Source organism: Homo sapiens, chromosome 7 (assembly GCF_000001405.40).
Source record: "Homo sapiens chromosome 7, GRCh38.p14 Primary Assembly".
Taxonomy (NCBI): Eukaryota; Metazoa; Chordata; class Mammalia; order Primates; family Hominidae; genus Homo; species Homo sapiens.
The window spans coordinates 107,540,675-107,558,389 of NC_000007.14; the positions used below are offsets into that span (position 1 = coordinate 107,540,675).

Sequence of the window (17,715 nt, forward strand, 5' to 3'; positions counted from 1 at the left end):
ATTATTTAAAAGAAATTTTAAATAATCTAGGAACCCTAAACATAAAATACACATTTCTAATATCCAATAAAAAATTACCAGGTATGTAAAGAAGCAAAACACATAAAACCCATAACAAGAAACAAGAAGAAAAGTCAATCAACAAAAACAAACCTAGAAATAATAAAGAATTAAATGTTAAAATATATTTTATAGGCCGGGCACGGTGGCTCATGCCTATAATCCCAGCACTTTGGGAGGCTGAGGCAGGCGGATCACCTGAGGTCAAGAGTTCAAGACCAGCCTGGCCAATATGGTAAAACCCCATCTCTACTCAAAATACAAAAATTAGCCAGGTGTTGTGGCACATGCCTGTAATCCCAGCTACTCAGGAGGTTTAGGCAGGAGAATCACTTGAACCCAGGAGGCGGAGGTTGCAGTGAGCCAAGATCCTGCCACTGCACCCCAGCCTGGGCAACAGAGCGGGACTCTGTCTTGAAAAAAAAAAAAAAATTTATAAACATGTATATGTTCAAGAAGGTAAATGAAAACATGAATGTCAGCCGGACACAGTGGCTCATACTTGTAATTCCAGCACTTTGGGAGGCCAATACAGGTGGAATGCTTGACCTCAGGAGTTCGAGACCAACCTGAGCAGCAGGACAGAACCCGGTCTCTACAAAAAATACAAAAATTGGCTGGGTGTGGTGGTGCATGCCCATAGTCTCAGCTACTCAGGAGGCTGAGATGGGAGGATAGCTTGGGCCTGGGAGGAAGAGATTGCAGTGGGTTGAGATCGTGCCACTGCACTCCAGCCTGGGCAACAGAGTGAGACCCTGTCTCAAAAAAAAAAAAAAAAAAAAAAAAAAAATATATATATATATATATATGTATTTATGCGTGTGTGTATTTATATAAATGAAATTGAAATATAAATGTCATAACAGAAAGAGAAGATATAAAAAGACACAAATATAAACTAGAGATGAAAACTATAGGCCGGGGATGGTGGCTCACACCTGTAATCCCAGCACTTTGGGAGGCTGAGGCGTGCGGATCACGAGGTCAGAAGTTCGAGACCAGCCTGGCCAATATGTTGAAACCCTGTCTCTACTAAAAATACAAAAATTAGCTGGGCATGGTGGCAGGCACCTGTACTCCCAGCTACTCAGGAGGCTGAGGCAGAAGAATTGCTTGAAGCCAGGAGGCGCGGTTGCAGTGAGCCGAGATGGTGCCACTGCACTCCAGCCTGGGCAACAGAGTGAGACTCCATCTCAAAAAAGAAAAAAAAAAAAAAACTATAAAAACACACAGGATGGGATTAACAGCAGATTACATACTTAATTAAAAAGATTAGTAAATTTACAAGCAATTTCAGGTAGATTATAGATCTAAACATATGAGGCAAAACAATACGTGCTTTTGAAGGCAATATACAATATCTTCATAGCTTCAGGGTAGAGAAAGTTATCTTGTGAGAATTTTTCATAAAAGAGAACTAACCATAAAAGAAAAATTAGATAAATTTAACTTCTCTCCAACAACAGACAAGAGCGAGAAGGAGAAAAAAATGGATAGGCAGAGGAATATCTGAAACACACATAATAGATGACTTACAAGAGGTTCAATCTCCTTAGTAATTAGCTCTTAGAAAAACAAAACCACAACAAGATACCACCACACACCTAAAATATTAGCAAAAACTAACAAGTTTGACAACACTAAGTGTTGACAAGGATACAAACTAAAAGGAACTCTCATATACTGATAGCATATGTGGTATAACCATTTGGTAAAATAGTTTGGCATTATCTAATAAAGTTGAAAATCAGAAACCCTATAACCCAGAAATCTCACTCCCAGGATATAACTTACACAAAGGGGTATTAGCATGAGCCAACATATATTTGTAAAAAAGTTTTCACAGCCATATTACTCATAATGGTCCCAATCTGGAAACAATCCAAATTCCATAAGCAGAATATTCATATAATGACATATTCTACAGCAATAAAAATGAAACAAAACAAGCAAGGCCAGGCATGGTGGCTCACGCCTGTAATCCCAGCACTTTGGGAGGCCGAGGCAGGTGGATCACTTGAGGTCAGGAGTTCGAGACCAGCTTGGCCAACATGGTGAACTCTGTCTCTACTAAAAACACAACAAAAAAATAGCCAAATGTGGTGGCAGGTGCCTGTAATCCCAGCTACTTGGGAAGCTAAGGCAGGAGAATCCTTGAACCTGGGAGGCGGAGGCTGCAGTGAGCCAAGATCGCTCCATTGCATTCCAGCCTAGGCAACAGAGCACAACTCTGTCTCAAAAAAAAAAAAAAAGGGAAAAGCAATATAGATGAATTCAAAAAAGGATAATACTTTCCAAAAAACAGGGTATTAAAGCATAATTTTTAGTTAAAAAAAATCAATGTGATATGTTTATGAGTGACATTAGTAAGATGGCAGAGGAAGACTTTCCAGGACTCCAGCTTGCAGACACATTAATTTGAACCACTATCCATACACAAAAACATCTTCACAAAAGTTAAAGAAACCAGGTAAGACATTACAGCACGTGAATACAGCACAGAAATAAAAAGAGGCACATTGAAGAGAGTAGGAAGGACAGTATTACATTACCTGCGTCCCCCAACACCAGCCAGCTAGCAAGGAGACAGATGCTCGTTGAGGAGAGAAAAGAGAAGGAATTGAGCACTGGACTTTGCCTCAGCCCCAACACTAGGCCTGCCCCATTAAAATTGTGTTGGGCAGGCTGCCCCCGCCCGACTCCAGGCCAGTACTTCCAGACTACATCTCCTGGCCCACTCCAATACCAGGCTGGTCCCAGTGACCCCAGGCCCCAGACCAGCCCTCGGCTTCAGGCTAATCCCAACTCAGGCTCCAGGCCCAACCCAGCACCAGGCAACCCTGCATAGCCCAAGATGTTAGGCTAGCCCTAGTGCCAGGTTAGCACTCAGACTTCCAGCACCAGGCCAGCCCCTGAATACTCATGCTCCAGACCAGCCCAAGTGGCCCCAAACACCAGGTCTGCCCCGCATCAGGTTGGCACCTGTGGCCTCAGACACCAGGCCAGCACACAAGGACACAGGCTCCAAGCCTGCCCTACGGGTCCACATTCCAAGTCAGCCCCTGTGGCCCCACACTCCAACAGACACAAAGTTCAGGCTCCTCTGGCAGAGCCAGGGTCCAGGTCCATCCCAGCAGAACCTGGCCTCCTCTGGCAAACCCAGGGTCCAGGCTCATCACAGCAGAACCCAGTGCCAGGCCTGCCCCCAAGACCTGATGACTCACACCTGCCTCAGTGGCCCAGTCTCCAGGCAAGCCCTTGCAGACCCAGCCTCCAGGCCAGCACTCACTCACCCAGCCTCTAGGAAGACCCTCATGGCTCCAGGCACAAAGCAAGCACCCACAGACTGCAGCCTTCAGTGGACCCAGAGTCCAGGCTTATTTCAGCAGACCAAGGCTCCAGGACCACCCTTGCAAACCCAAGCTCCAGGCTAACCCTGGTAAACCCAAGACCAGGCCTGACTCACAGACTCCAGGCCCACCCCCATGGTCCCAGGTGCCAGTGAAAGCCAGGCATTGTGGACTCAGGCTCCAGGCCCATCCCCAAGGTCCCAGGTGCCAGCAACTGGTTGGCTCCTGCAGATTCAAGCTAAAGGCCGGTCCAAGTGCCAGGTCAGCTCCCAAGGGACCAGGCTTCAGACCAGCTCTTGTGGACTAGGGCCCTAATAGTCAACGTGTCCACTCCACAAGGGGCCAGCTTGGCACTGTGAACCCTGGATCTAAGTCTGCTCCAGCAAACTCATGACCCACATTTGCCCCAGTAAATATAGTCTGCAGACCAAACCTCATGGACCCAAGCACCAGACCTGTGCACCTGCTAACCTAGGTACCACAACAGCCTGCCTGAAGACACCAGCAGTAAGCCTGCCCACAGACCACACCAGAAAGCCTGCCTAGGATCTCTGGTCAGGCTAATTGGTGAAGAACTTTGCCAGCCAAAGCCAGTCTGCAAAGAGTGGAGTAAGTTCCTACTTCTTCAAATGTGCAGGCACCAATACAAGGCAACAAGAATCACAATCAGGGAAACATAACACCACCAAAGGAACAAACATTAAAGATATTGAGGTTTATGAGCTGCCTAACAAGCAATTCAAAATAATCATCTTTTAAAAACTCCATGAACTACAAGACAATACAACTAGACAAGTACACAAAATCAGGAAAACAATAAACAAACAAAATGAGAAGTTCAACAAAGAAACAGAAACCATAAGAATGAACCAAACTGAAATTCTGGAACTAAAGAACACAATGACTGAACTAAAAAAATTCCAAAGAGAGCTTCAACAGTAGACTCAATCACATAAAAGAATCAGTGTGCTTGAAAAGGGGTTATTTGAAATGATCCAGTCAGAGGAACAAAAAGAAAAAAGAAAAAGAGTAAAGAAAGCCTTTGAGAATTACGGGATGCCATCAAGCAAACCAATTTATATGTTATGGGTGTCCCAGAAGGAGCAGAGAGAGAAGAAAGTTTATTTTAAAAAATAATAACAAAAATTCCCCAAATCTGTGGAATGTAAAAAATATCCAGGTATAGGAAACTCAAAGATCTCCAATCAGGTTCAATGTAAACAAGACTACCCCAAGATATATTACAATCAAATTGTCAAAAATCAAAAACAGAGAGGATCTTGAAAGCAACAAGAGAAAAGAAGCATATCACATACAAAGGAATCCCAAGATGGCTATGAACAGATTTCTCAGTAGAAATCTTATAAGCCAGGAGAGACAGGGATGATCTATTCAAAGTGCTGAAAGAAAATAGGCTGGGTGCAGTGGCTCACACTTGTAATCCTAGCACGTGGGGAGGCCAAGGCAGGCAGATCACCCGAGGTCAGGAGTTCGAGACCAGCCTGGCCAAGAAGGCGAAATGCCATCTCTACCAAAAATACAAAAATTAGCCAGGCGTGGTGGCGGGCACCTGTAATCCCAGCTACTCGGGAGGCTGAGGCAGAAGAATGGCTTGAACCTGGGAGGTGGAGGTTGCAGTGAGCAGAGATCAGGCCATTGCACTCCACCCTGGGTGAGAGAGTGAGACTCCATCTCAAAAAAAAAAAAAAAAAAAAGAAAAGAAAAGAAAGAAAAAAACCAACAAATCAATTTTGAAACAACAGACTTTAACTACACTCTAAAACAAATAAACTGAACAAATACAGAACACTCCGTCCAACAGCAGCGGAATACACATTCTTCTCAAATGCACATGGAACTTTTTTCAGGATAGATCATATGTTAGACCAGAAAATAAGGCTTAACAAACTTAAGAAGACTGAGATCATATCAAATATCTTTTCCAACCACAATGGTATTAAACTAGAAATCAATAAAGGATGGATTTCGAAAAATTCACCAAAAATTTCTCAAAAAAAATAAACAACATGCTTATGAGCAACCAATGGATCAAAAAAGAAATTAAAAGAGAAGTTTTAAAATGTCTTGAGACAAATGACACAACATACCGAAAGTTATGGGATGCAGCAAAAGCAGTTCTAAGACGAAAGTTTACAGCAATAAATGTCTACATCAAAAAAGATTTCAAATAAATAACCTAGTATTAAACCTCAAGAACTAGAAAAAGAACAAACAAAGCCCAAAGTTAGTAGAAGGAAGAAAATAATAAAGATCAGGGCAGAAATAAATTAAATACAGACTAGGAAAACAATAAAGATTAATAAAACCAAGAGTTGTGTTTTGGTTTTTTGTTTTTTTTTTTTTTTTTTGAGACAAGGTCTCGCTCTTTTGTCCAGGCTCCAGTACAATGGTGCAATCTTGGCTCGCTGCAACTTCCACCTCCCAGGCTCAAGCAATTCTTCTGCCTCAGCCTCCCGAGTATCTGGGACTACAGGCGTGTCACCATGCCTTGCTATAAGAGTTGGTGTTTTGAATAGATAAATCAAATCAATAAAACTTTAGCTAGACTAAGAAAAAAAAGAAATCTCAAAACCAGAAATGAAAAAAGAAACATTACAACTGATATTACAAAAATATAAAGAATTATAAGAAACTACTATGAACAAATATATGCCAACAAACTGGATAACTTAGAAGAAACTGATACATTTCTAGACATATACAACTTACAAAAATTGAATCATAAAGAAACAAAATCTTAACAGATCAATAGTGAGTACAGAGATTAAATCAGTAATAAAAAGTCTCCTAACAAAGAAAAGCCCAGGACTTGATGGCTTTACTGTTGAATTCTACCATACATTTAAAGAAAAACTAATACCAATCCTTCTAAAACTCTCCCCAAAAAAATCAAAGATGGAAAAGTATTTCCAAACTCATTTTATTAGGCCAATATTACCCTTCTGTTAATGACAAAGACACTACAGGAAAAGAAAATTACAGGTCAATATTCCTGATCAACACAGATGCAAAATCCTCAACAAAATACTAGCCAATCGAATTCAGTAGCACATTAGAAGAATCATTCACCATGATCAAGTGAGATTTATCTCTGGGGTGCAGGGATAGTTCAACATGTGCAAATCAATAAATGATATACCACACTAACAGAATGAAAGACAAAAATCATATGATCATTTTGATAGATGCAGAAAAGGCACTTGGTAAAATTCAACAACACATCGTGTTAAAAACTCAAAAAAAACTCTATAGAAGGAACGTACCTCAACGCAATAGAGGCCATATACGACCAGCCCACAACTAACATCATAATCAACAGTGAAAAGTTGAAAGCTTTTCCTCTAAGATCAGGAACAAAACAAGGATGCACACTCTCACCACTACTATTCATCAACATAGCCACTGGAAGTCCTGGCCAGAGCCATTAGGCAAGTGAGAAATAAAAGGCATCCAAATCTGAAGGGAAGTAAAATTATCCCTGTCTGCAGACAGCATGATCCTTTAGACAGAAAACTAGATAAAGGACCCTAAAGACTCCACCAAAAGAGTGCTAGAATAAATGCATACAGTAAAGTCAGAGGATACAAAATTAACATACAAAAATCAGTAGCATTTCTATACACTAACAATGAACTATCCAAAGAAATAATCAGAAAAACAATCCCATTTCCCATTTACAATAGCTACAAAAAAAAAAAGTTAGAAATAAATTTAACCAAGGAGGTGAAGCATCTATACATTGAAAGCTATAAAACATTGATGAAAGAAATTGAAGAAGATATAAGTTAATAAACAATTATACACTGCAATGACAGTGAAAAGAATTTGCTTTAGATTTGTATTTTTTGAGCTAGACATCTTAAGGCTTTTTAGTATTTTTTTCTCCTTTTCTCTTACCTTCTGTTCCCATTCTCTTACTTCTTCCAAACTCATACTCTTAAATTTTGTCCACTTATGAAAACAAAATGAATAATAAAGTATAAAGAAATAAAAGTAAGAAACTACCTGAAGTCTTGCTAGTTGTGCAGTCCGGGCAACTATCTTATTGTATGGTTCAACAATTTTTGCTTTTATCCTACAGGAAAAGAGAGGAGTGAGAATAAAATCATTTTCAGAATATCAATGGATAAAAACATTCCCATTCCATTTATTTATAAAATTAAGAACAGTACCTATCAACAGCTCCCTGTAAAGCCCCAATTCTCGTCTGCATCATCTGAAGAACACCTAGGAAAACATAAGTTTACATTGGCTTTACAAATTTACAGGGCATCCAACTGGGTAAATAGTTAAATTAAAAGAAAATACATGCATATATAATTTTAACTTTTTTTGTCACCATCCTAATCCAAGCAACCAGTATCTTTTACCCACACTGCTGTAAAAGCCTGTAACTGGTCTCCCCCTCCAATCTTTGCCTCACAAAAGAAGCCTGACAGGGAATGGGAACTGACTGCTTAATGGATATGGGGTTTCCATCTGGGGTGATGGAAAAGTTATGGACCTAGATACTGAGGATGGTTGCACAACACTGTAAATGTACTTAATGCCACTGAATTGTATGTTTTAAAATGCTAAAAACAATAAATTTTATGTTATGTATATTTTAACACATTACCAAAAAAGTATGACTGATCCTCCATGATATCCCCTTTGCCCCATCACTCCTATATTAAAACTATAGTCCACAGCTTAGTCTACAACTCTCTAGGCTTACAACATGAGGAAATTTTCACAAATTGGAAAAATATTTCCAGGAAGATCAAGCATAAATTTTATTATTTAGGCTTTCAATTAGTACAGATATTTAATTATTTTGAATGCCATTCTTTAAAATTCAGTTTCTATATCCAACTGGCATAGTTGTTTTGAAAGCATAGTATTCTATTAATATCTAAATTTAAGTATAGACATGTGGTCATATTTTAAATGAAATAATATTGGAACAAATAAACATTCCTATCAGCATACAAGTATACAATAACAGAGTTCAGTTCAATAGAATCCTCTCTGAACCAAAGATTCCCACTTTTCTGCTGGTTTTGTGGTGTATTCACCATACACTGCCAAGAATACACTGCCATTACTTATAACCATTTTCTTACATCATATTCTCTCCACAACCCAGTCTCAATGGGTTTCCACCAATACTCCACCAAAACAGATGTTACCAAGGTCACCAGAAATCTATGAGTTGCCGAATTCTATTGTTGGTTCTGTCTTAACCTTGTTCCAGCTCTCAGAAATTCACAGCAGTTGACTACTCCCTTTCTAAAACATTTTTTGTCTAGGCTTTCTTTTTTTGAGACAGAGTCTCGCTCTGTCGCCCAGGCTGGAGTGCAGTGGCTTGATCCCCCCTCACTGCATGCTCCGCCTCCCGGGTTCACGCCATTCTCCAGCCTCAGCCTCCCGAGTGGCTGGGATTACAGGCGCCCACCACCACGCCCAGCTAATTTTTTTTTTTTTTTTTGTATTTTTAGTAGAGATGGGGTTTCACCATGTTAGCCAGGATGGTCTCGACCTCCTGACCTCGTGATCCACCCACCTTGGCCTCCGAAAGTGCTGGGATTACAGGCGTGAGCCACCACGCCTGGCCTTGTCTAGGCTTTCAAATCATCACACTTCCTGGGTCTCCTATTATCTCATTAGTTGTTCCCACTTCTCCTCTGTCAGACCTCTACATGTGCTGGAGTACCCCAAGACGTGATCCTCAGCCATCTGCTCTTCTCCATCTACAATCTTTCAGGAATTTCATTCAGTCCCAAAGTTTTAAATAGTATCTGTTCAATAAAATACTGATTTTATACACACACACACATATACAGACGTATACACATACATCTATGTAAAAAGATTTTCTTTATATATCTGCCTATGTTCTCATTCCCTATCTCTCTGTCCTCTTTCTCTCTCTTCCCCTGTACTGTTACATCAAATGTAAGATACCCAAGACAGTTTATGCCCTACCCCCCAACCTATCAAAAATCACACTTCTCTCCAGGCTATGTCATCTCCATTACTCATACCATCATCTATCCAATTTTTGAGACTAAAATCCTAGGAATAACTCACGGTGACTTTTTTCCATCAGCTCTTTCATCTGCCATCAACAAACCCTATCAGCTTTGCCTACATTTTACTCCATCTGCCACCACTCTAATCCAATGCACCATCAACTTCAACTATTCTAATAGCTTCCAAACCAGTGTCCCTGATTCCACCATTGCCTTTTTCTACAGAGCTATCAGAGTAAACTATTCCGAGTATTAATCTCATCATACAATAACCTGATTAAACTCTTCCAATGGTTTACCATTGCATTTAGAATTAAATCCAAATTCCTTCCCAAGAACCTTATCTACGATCCTCTCCCTCCTTCACTAAACATCAGCTATTCTGGGCTACTTTCTGCCCCTCAAACATGCCAAATTAATTCCTGCTTTCCCATTTATTGTTCAGTCTTCTCCTCAAATCTTCACATGATGGCTCCTCCTCATCATTAGATCTTGGCTCAAACGTCATCTTCTCAAAAAGGCCTTCCCTCTCCTTCATCCATCCCCATCACCTGTTTTATTTTCTCTATAGAATTTACAAATAAAATTTTTCTTTCTGTTTTCTGAGATACAGTCTCACTCTATTGCCCAGGCTGGGGTGCACTGGCATGATCTCGGCTCACCGCAACCTCTGCCTCCCAGGTTCAAGCAATTCTCATGCCTCAGCATTCCAAGTAGCTGGGGTTACAAGCATGATCCACCATGCCCAGCCCTGTTTTCTACTTGTACTTTGTTTTTTTTTTTTTATCTACCTCCAGGACCAGAACATAGTTCCAAAAGGACAGTGACTTTGTCTATCATTCACAAGTGCCTAGTACTTAACAAGTTATTAATTACTATTTGATTGCCTGAATGAACAAATAAATCAATGAGGCTACCTTTGTTTTTTGTTTGTTTGTTTTGAGATGGAGTCTCGCTCTGTCGCCCAGGCTGGAGTGTAGTGGCATGATCTCGGCTCACTGCAAGCTCCACCTCCGGGGTTCACGCCATTCTCCTGCCTCAGCCTCCCAAGTAGCTGGGACTACAGGCACCCACCACCACACCTGGCTAATTTTTTGTATTTTTAGTAGACACGGGGTTTCACCATGTTAGCCAGGATGGGAGGCTACCTCTTTTTGACAAAAAGAAGCTTAATAAATATTCCTCAAAATTCCATGAAAACAAAAACTCTATTGCTATAGCTTTCTGAAACCTAGCAAATTCTCAAAAGTAATATTTGGAAGAATATTTTTAAAAAGAACATTTTTAAATAAAATAGGCTTAAACATACCTCCAAACTACTTACATGCTAAAAAAATTTTACATATTTAGGAGAATAAAGCAGATGAAGTAGAAGCTAGAATAATATTCAATTTTTCTAATATGTATACACACCACACTTACTTTTCAGCATCTCAAAATAACATCTAGACACATCATGCTAAAATGAATGCTAACCAATTCACATTTAAAGTTTTTTATTTATTTTTTGAGACAGGGTCTAGGGTCTTGCTCTGTCACCCAGGCTGGAGGGCAGGGACACAATCACAGCTCACTGCAGCCTCAACCTCCTTGGCTCAAGCGATCCTCCTACATCAGCCTCCCAAGTAGCTGGGACTAGAAACATGCACCACCACGCCAAGCTAATGTTTTATTTTTTATAGAGATAGAGTCTCATTATGTTGCCCAGGCTGGTCTTGAACTCTGGGATCAAGTGAACCTCCCACCTTGGCCTCCCAGAGTGCTGGGATTATAGGCGTGAGCCACTGCACCCTGGCCTACACTTCAATCTTTTATGTTCAAATAATCTAGTGAATATCCTGAGATAATCATAGGAAAAAAGTAGCCAGCCTTTGTACTCTACACACTCACACAAGAGATAATCATTCTAATTCAGTCTAGCAGTGTATTTCAAATATTTTAATCTTTGAACATCATTCTGGGAAAAACAAGCACATTATAAACTAAAACACATATTTAAAAACCACAATGAGAAATATTTCTGTTGCGGTGATTCATCTAGACCTATACACACTCAATGTACTACCATGCCATCCTTATTAATAAAAAACTAGCATGTTTTCAAGATTGCCATTAAAATATTACATGCTCTCAAAAATGCATAAAAATATTATGACATTTAAAAACATAATTAAAACTAGTGAGCTTCTGCACAGCCAAAGAAACTATCAATAGAATAAACAGACAACCTACAGAACGGGTGAAAATGTTTGCAAACTATGCATCTGACAAAGGTCTAATATCCAGAATTTATAAGAAACTTAATTCAACAAGCAAAAACACAACTCCATTAAAAAGTGGGCAAAAGACATAAAGAGACATTTCTCAAAAGAAGGCATACATGCAGGCAACACACATGAAAAAAAAATGCTCAACATCACCAATCATCAGAGAAATGCAAATCAAAACCACAATGAGATACCATCTCACACCATTCAGAATGACTATTATTAAAAAGTCAAAAAACAACAGATGCTGGTGAGGCTGTTGAGAAAAGGGAATGCTTATATGCTTTTGGTGGGAAGGTACAGCCACTGTGGAAAGCAGTTTGGCGATTTCTCAAATAACTCAGAACTACCATTTGACCCAGCAATCCTGTTACTGGATATATATTCAAAAGAAAATAAATTGTTCCACCATAAAGACACATGCACTTGTATGTTCATCACAGCACTGTTCACAATAACAAAGACATAGAATCAACCTAGGTGCCCAACAACAGTGAATTAAAGAAACATGGTACATATATACCATGGATACTACACAGCCATAAAAAAAGAATGAAACTATGTCCTATATAGCAATATGGATAGAACTGAAGGTGATTATCCTAAGCAAATTAAGGCAGGAAGAGAAAAATCAAATACTGCACAGTCTCACTTATAAGTGGGAGCTAAACATTGGGTACTCATAGACCTGAAGATGACAACAACAGACAATAGGGACTACTAGAGGAGGGAGTACCTAACTGTTGGGTCCTATGCACACTACCTGGGTGACAGGATCATTTGTACCCCAAACCTCAGCATTATGTAATATTCTCAGGTACAAACCTACACATATACCCCCCCGGATCTAAAATAAAAGTTGAAATGACTAATAATAGTAATTAATTTCCAGTACTAAGTCAATCGGTACTTAGAGCTTCCTAATCTTCCTAAGAACCTAGTCAGATATGTATCCCAGATTTCAAATAACAAACTATTATTTCCAAAAATACTAAGTTCTTCATCAGGGTATCTTAGAAATATTGTACATGCTGAGAATAAGTTAGTATCTTTGAGTACATGAGAAATACTGGGGGAAGCATTAAAGAATACTGCATCACAGAAAACAATATCCTCTCTCCTTAAGAATTTGATCAACATCGAGAAAAACCCCTTACCTTTCTTCTGATGTACAATGATTAATAATAGTAATCACAAGTAATAATGTAAAACACAATAGTAACATTTCATATTTATGAGATGTAGTTTAATTTAATCAAGAGGGAATGAAAAATTCATAAAAGATTTAGTCAAACAAAAATAAGCAGATTTGTAAAAATAAAAATCCAATTATTACTTGACTATATTTTCATTAAAAAGAGTTGCAAAAAAGGCTCCAAGAAAGGCAAAAATAAGAAAAAAAATTCATGCCTTCTTCCACTACTAGTCACTCTGGTATTGTTGATGTTTTTATTGTTTTAATTAACTAACACTTACAGGTGCACTAAATATGTGCAGGCATTGTTCTAAGTATCTTGCTAATTCATTTAATCCTCAGAACAATGCTGTGTTAGTACACATTATACTCCTGTTTTACAAATAAGAAAACTGAGGCAGAAAAGGGTTAACTAACTTGCTCAAAGTCAAACACCTAGTAAGCAGTAAAACAAGGATTTGAACCCAGATCATTTAGCTCAGGGGCCAGCAAAGTTTCACTAAAGTCTTACTGAAACATAGCCACACACATTTGTTTTCATATTATCTGCCTACTTTCACTCTACAATGGCAGAGTTTAGTAGTTGCAACAGAGACTGTATGGCTGGCAAAGTCTAAAATACTTGCCATCCAAAGTAGCTTGCCAAAGCTTGCCAATCCCTGGTCTAGCTCTACATAATCTCTAGCAGTTATTAGAAATATACCTTCCAACGACTCAATCCCAGTTGCTTGTGCCAGTAAATCTTCATGTCTTGCAACAACCTGAAAATCAAAAATAAATGATTAGCTTTTGCTCTGTTAGGTATTCTTCCTTGTAACCACAATGTAGAATGGACAGTCTCTCTTGGTGTAGAAACGAGGCAAATACAAATACAAAAGAAAAAACCACAGGTTTTTAAGGTGTGTCTGAGATGAGTTGTAAGCGGGAACACACATACATTTACAGTTCAACACAGAGCAAGAGGAGTTACAGCCTTTTCTTAGCCCTGTCTTAGTCTGTTTGGACTACAAACACAAAATACCTTAGACTGAGTAATTTACAAACAGAAGAAATTTATTGCTCACAGTTCTGGGGTTTGGGAAGTCCAGCATCAAGGCATTGGCAAATTCAGCATCTGGTGAGAACCCATTCCTTACAGATGGTACCTTGTATCTATCTTCACATGGTGGAAGGGGCAAACAGTCTTCCTCGGGCCTCTCCAATATGATATGATAGTATTAAGAGCCCTGCACTAAACCCTAGTAAGAGCCCCGAGCTCTTAATACTATCATATTGGAGATTAAGTTTCAACATATGAATGTTAGGGGAACACAAACACTCAGACAAGCCCCTTGCTATCTTAAAGAGATGTACAAGTGGAGTTGTGCCAAAAAATGTAAAAAACAGCTCATTATTGCCACACCATTATTATGTTTTCCCTTTAAAGAACATTTTCAAACATCAGGTTCTCTTTGTTCTTGAATTTGATTCAGCACCACCAAGGCTACATCCTACTCTGGAAAGATACAGCATTCAGTGCTCACCTATACCTGAACATCTCTCTGCTTCCAGTTTCCCAGTGTCACATACCCACAGCAAATCCTTTTCCCTACAGATGTTTGATACTTTTATGAAAATTAGGGCACTGCAGATGGCCAGAACAAAAAAACCAAGGTTACTAAAGGCGACATGCAAGACATTCCTAGAAACATCACAAAATCATGCAAATCTTTAGAATAATGCAGGAATCCTTATTATTGTGTGCCTTTTATTCCAATGAATACTTAGTTTCATGTCTAGTCTGCTGACTGAAGTTCTTAATCACCAACGACTGGAACCCCTAAATCCTCCACTTTGTCTTGTTTCAGATATCACTGTCATTCTGTCAAGTTTCTTTCTATCATATCTACTCAAAGTATTACTCTTGGTCACCTCGGTCTTTTATTCGTAAGGTTGCCAGAAGATGTCTGAATTTTTCCCAGCCTACTGATACGGTCATCAATATGTCCATCTTAACAAGACTAACTTTTTAAAAATTATCTATTCTCCTTTATCACTAGTAATACTTTGGTAAGGTTAAAAAGCCTAAAACTATAGTTTCATGGACTCCCTTGCAACCAATTAAATGATTTTTCCAAGAGTTGTGGAAGACAAGAGAGAGGAAAGCTAGGCTGGGCACGGTGGCTCACACCTGTAATCCCAGCACTTTGGGAGACCGAGGTGGGTGGATCATTTGAGGTCAGGAGTTTGAGACCAGCCTGGCCAACATGGTGAAATCCTGTCTCTACTAAAAATACAAAAAAATTAGCTACGTGTGGTGGTGCACACCTGTAATCTCAGCTACTCAGGAGGCTGAGGCACAAGAATCATTTGAACCCGGGAGGCAGAGGTTGCAGTGAGCAAGATCGTGCCACTTATACACCAGCCTGGGTGACAGAGCAAGACTCTGTCTCAAAGAAAAAAAAAAAAAAGGAGAGAGGAAAGCTTACTGTTTCAGCTAGTAATAAAGGTCCTGAGACCTGAGAATTTAGAGACAGTTAAGAGAACCACATTGATCACTCCAGGATTTAGTCATCAGATATCTAGAGGCAGAATTTTAGCACTGGCATGGAAGGTAAGAACAGGTACTTCCAGGCCTCTGTATTGCATCTGTGGTAGTTCCTTCAACTCCGTCCACTAGCTATTCACCCAACAATTTTATAAGCATCCAAACTCTCTGTATGAAGTGTCTTTCTTAGAGTGATTTCTAGTTCCTGCACTAAACCCTAATAGTAAATGTTTTACAATTTTAGTCATCTCACTGATATAGACTACTGGGACTCGGAGACTTCCTCTACCTCACATCCTAGGCCACTACAACTTCTCCCCTCTAAGTGATGGTAAATACATTTTAAGTTCTTATTGATTCCTGCAGAGTAGATGCTGCATACAAGGAATAAGGAAAATACCAAGCATAAAAGGACTAAAAGAATTTCAGGTGGTTCTTGCAAAAAGCCACCCCCTGAGAACTCTAGACAAAACTAAATACATTATCCCCGCTCTCATAAACAACTTACACTGTTCTATTTAAAACAGGCCTCGCTTGCCTACCATTATTTCTGTCTGTGTCTGCCACTGGTCTGTGGGTCCTTGGAGAGCCAAGAAATGTATTCTATTTATTTGGCTATCCCCACAGTCTAACCCAAAGCTTGACAATTAAGCGTGTTTTCTTTCTTTTTTTTTTTTTTGAGACGGAGTCTTGCTCTTGTTGCCCAGGCTTGAGTGCAATGGCACGATCTCGGCTCCCTGCAAGCTCCAACTCCCAGGTTCAAGTGATTCTCCTGCCTCAGCCTCCCGAGTAGCTGGGATTACAGGCGCCCACCACCATGCCCAGCTAATTTTTGTATTTTTAGTAGAGATGGGGTTTTGCCATGTTGGCCAGGCTGGTCTGGAACTCCTGACCTCATGACCTGCCCGCCTCAGCCTCCCAAAGTGCTGGGGTTACAGGAATAAGCCACTGCGCCCGGCCTAAACGTGTTTTCTAAATATCTGTCAATAAAGATTGAAATCAAATGATACATAATCAGAATTTTAGAGTTAAAATAACCTTAGAAGGCATCCCAGTCCTATCTAAGGCACTCAAAGAAACTAAGACACAAAAATGATCAAGTGGATATGTCTCAGGTTATACCAAATCTATGTTTCCTGGTAAACAATCTATGTTTCATGCATATGTTCATTCATTTAAATATGTATTAAATACCTACTCAATCAAAGGCAACACTAGAAATTATGCCATAAAATCGCCCTATAAAATTTACAGAATTTTAGTAGAGGAGGGAATCTTCAAAGTTATCTACTACAGTCTCCTCTTCCTCTTGCTTATTCCAACCCATCTGATAGATTAAAAAACAAAAAAGCAAGACTCAAAGACTTTAAGTGATATTAAAGTCAGTTAACAACAGCATAGCTGAAATTAGGACCCGTCGCCTAACATCTCATATTGTATCCTACTCACAATAACATTTATCAACTTTCTGTAATTTCAGCAAATGCTACACTTTGTGCTAATAAAGTATGAATTGCGAATGTAACATCCCAATTTTTCTTATTCATATTGTTTTACTTCCAAAATTCCATTTTCTATTATCTTTATCGAACACATCCTATTTTTTGCCCACTATATTCGTTGCACATCAGTTAAGGTGGTGAACAGGAAGTATGAATGAAAGGCTTTGGTGAGGTGGTATATTAGTTTTTCCACAAACAAAAAGTGGTTTACAGAAAATTTCAAAAATTTACTTTGAAAAATAAGTCACACTGGTAAGTATGTACTTCTTCATGTAAATATGCATTTGTATTTAATAAGATTACAAAAATGCTAAATTATCACTTTAGGCTGAATAATCCATAGGGACCCAGAAGATCAGAATTACCTGTAAGTGTAGTTCTCTGTCCAACTGACTGATTCCTTGGGCAAGTTTTGCTAGTTGTTCAGCAATTACAGCTTGATGAATAGATTGAGAAGTATAAGTCTTTACATCAAAGTCTTCGTTTAAAAAGTCACTATAACACCCTGGATTGGGGAAAAAATAAGGAAAAGTCCTTAATTACCCTGTACTAAACCAGTTATTAAACAACAGAACAATTATAATCATAATTAACATATTTTGATCCCATACTCTGAACCACTCCACTATACTGCTTAATGCTTACTTTTATCATGACCCTAAAGGAAGTATAACATTGAGAAAGAGATTAAAAAACATAACGACTGGCCAGGCACACTGGCTCATGCCTGTAATCCCAGCACTTTGGGAGGCCGAGGTGGGTGGATCACCTGAGGTCAG

The 17,715-nt window shown here is 39.3% G+C and overlaps 1 protein-coding gene across 10 annotated transcripts in view; it reads right to left on the reverse strand.

Annotated features, from left to right (window-relative positions):
* COG5 (component of oligomeric golgi complex 5) overlaps positions 1-17,715 on the reverse strand; it is a 362,549-nt gene that overhangs the window by 339,303 nt on the left and 5,531 nt on the right. For 9 of the 10 annotated variants that reach the window (NM_001379515.1, NM_001379511.1, NM_001379512.1 and 6 more), the window contains exons 2-5: positions 17,302-17,441; positions 13,611-13,668; positions 7,604-7,658; positions 7,437-7,506 (exon numbers count right to left, since the gene is read on the reverse strand). In NM_001379515.1, coding sequence (NP_001366444.1) covers positions 7,437-7,506; positions 7,604-7,658; positions 13,611-13,668; positions 17,302-17,441 — 323 coding nt within the window. The remainder of the gene's footprint in view (positions 1-7,436; positions 7,507-7,603; positions 7,659-13,610; positions 13,669-17,301; positions 17,442-17,715) is intronic. The other variant, NM_001379516.1, reaches the window with a different exon arrangement.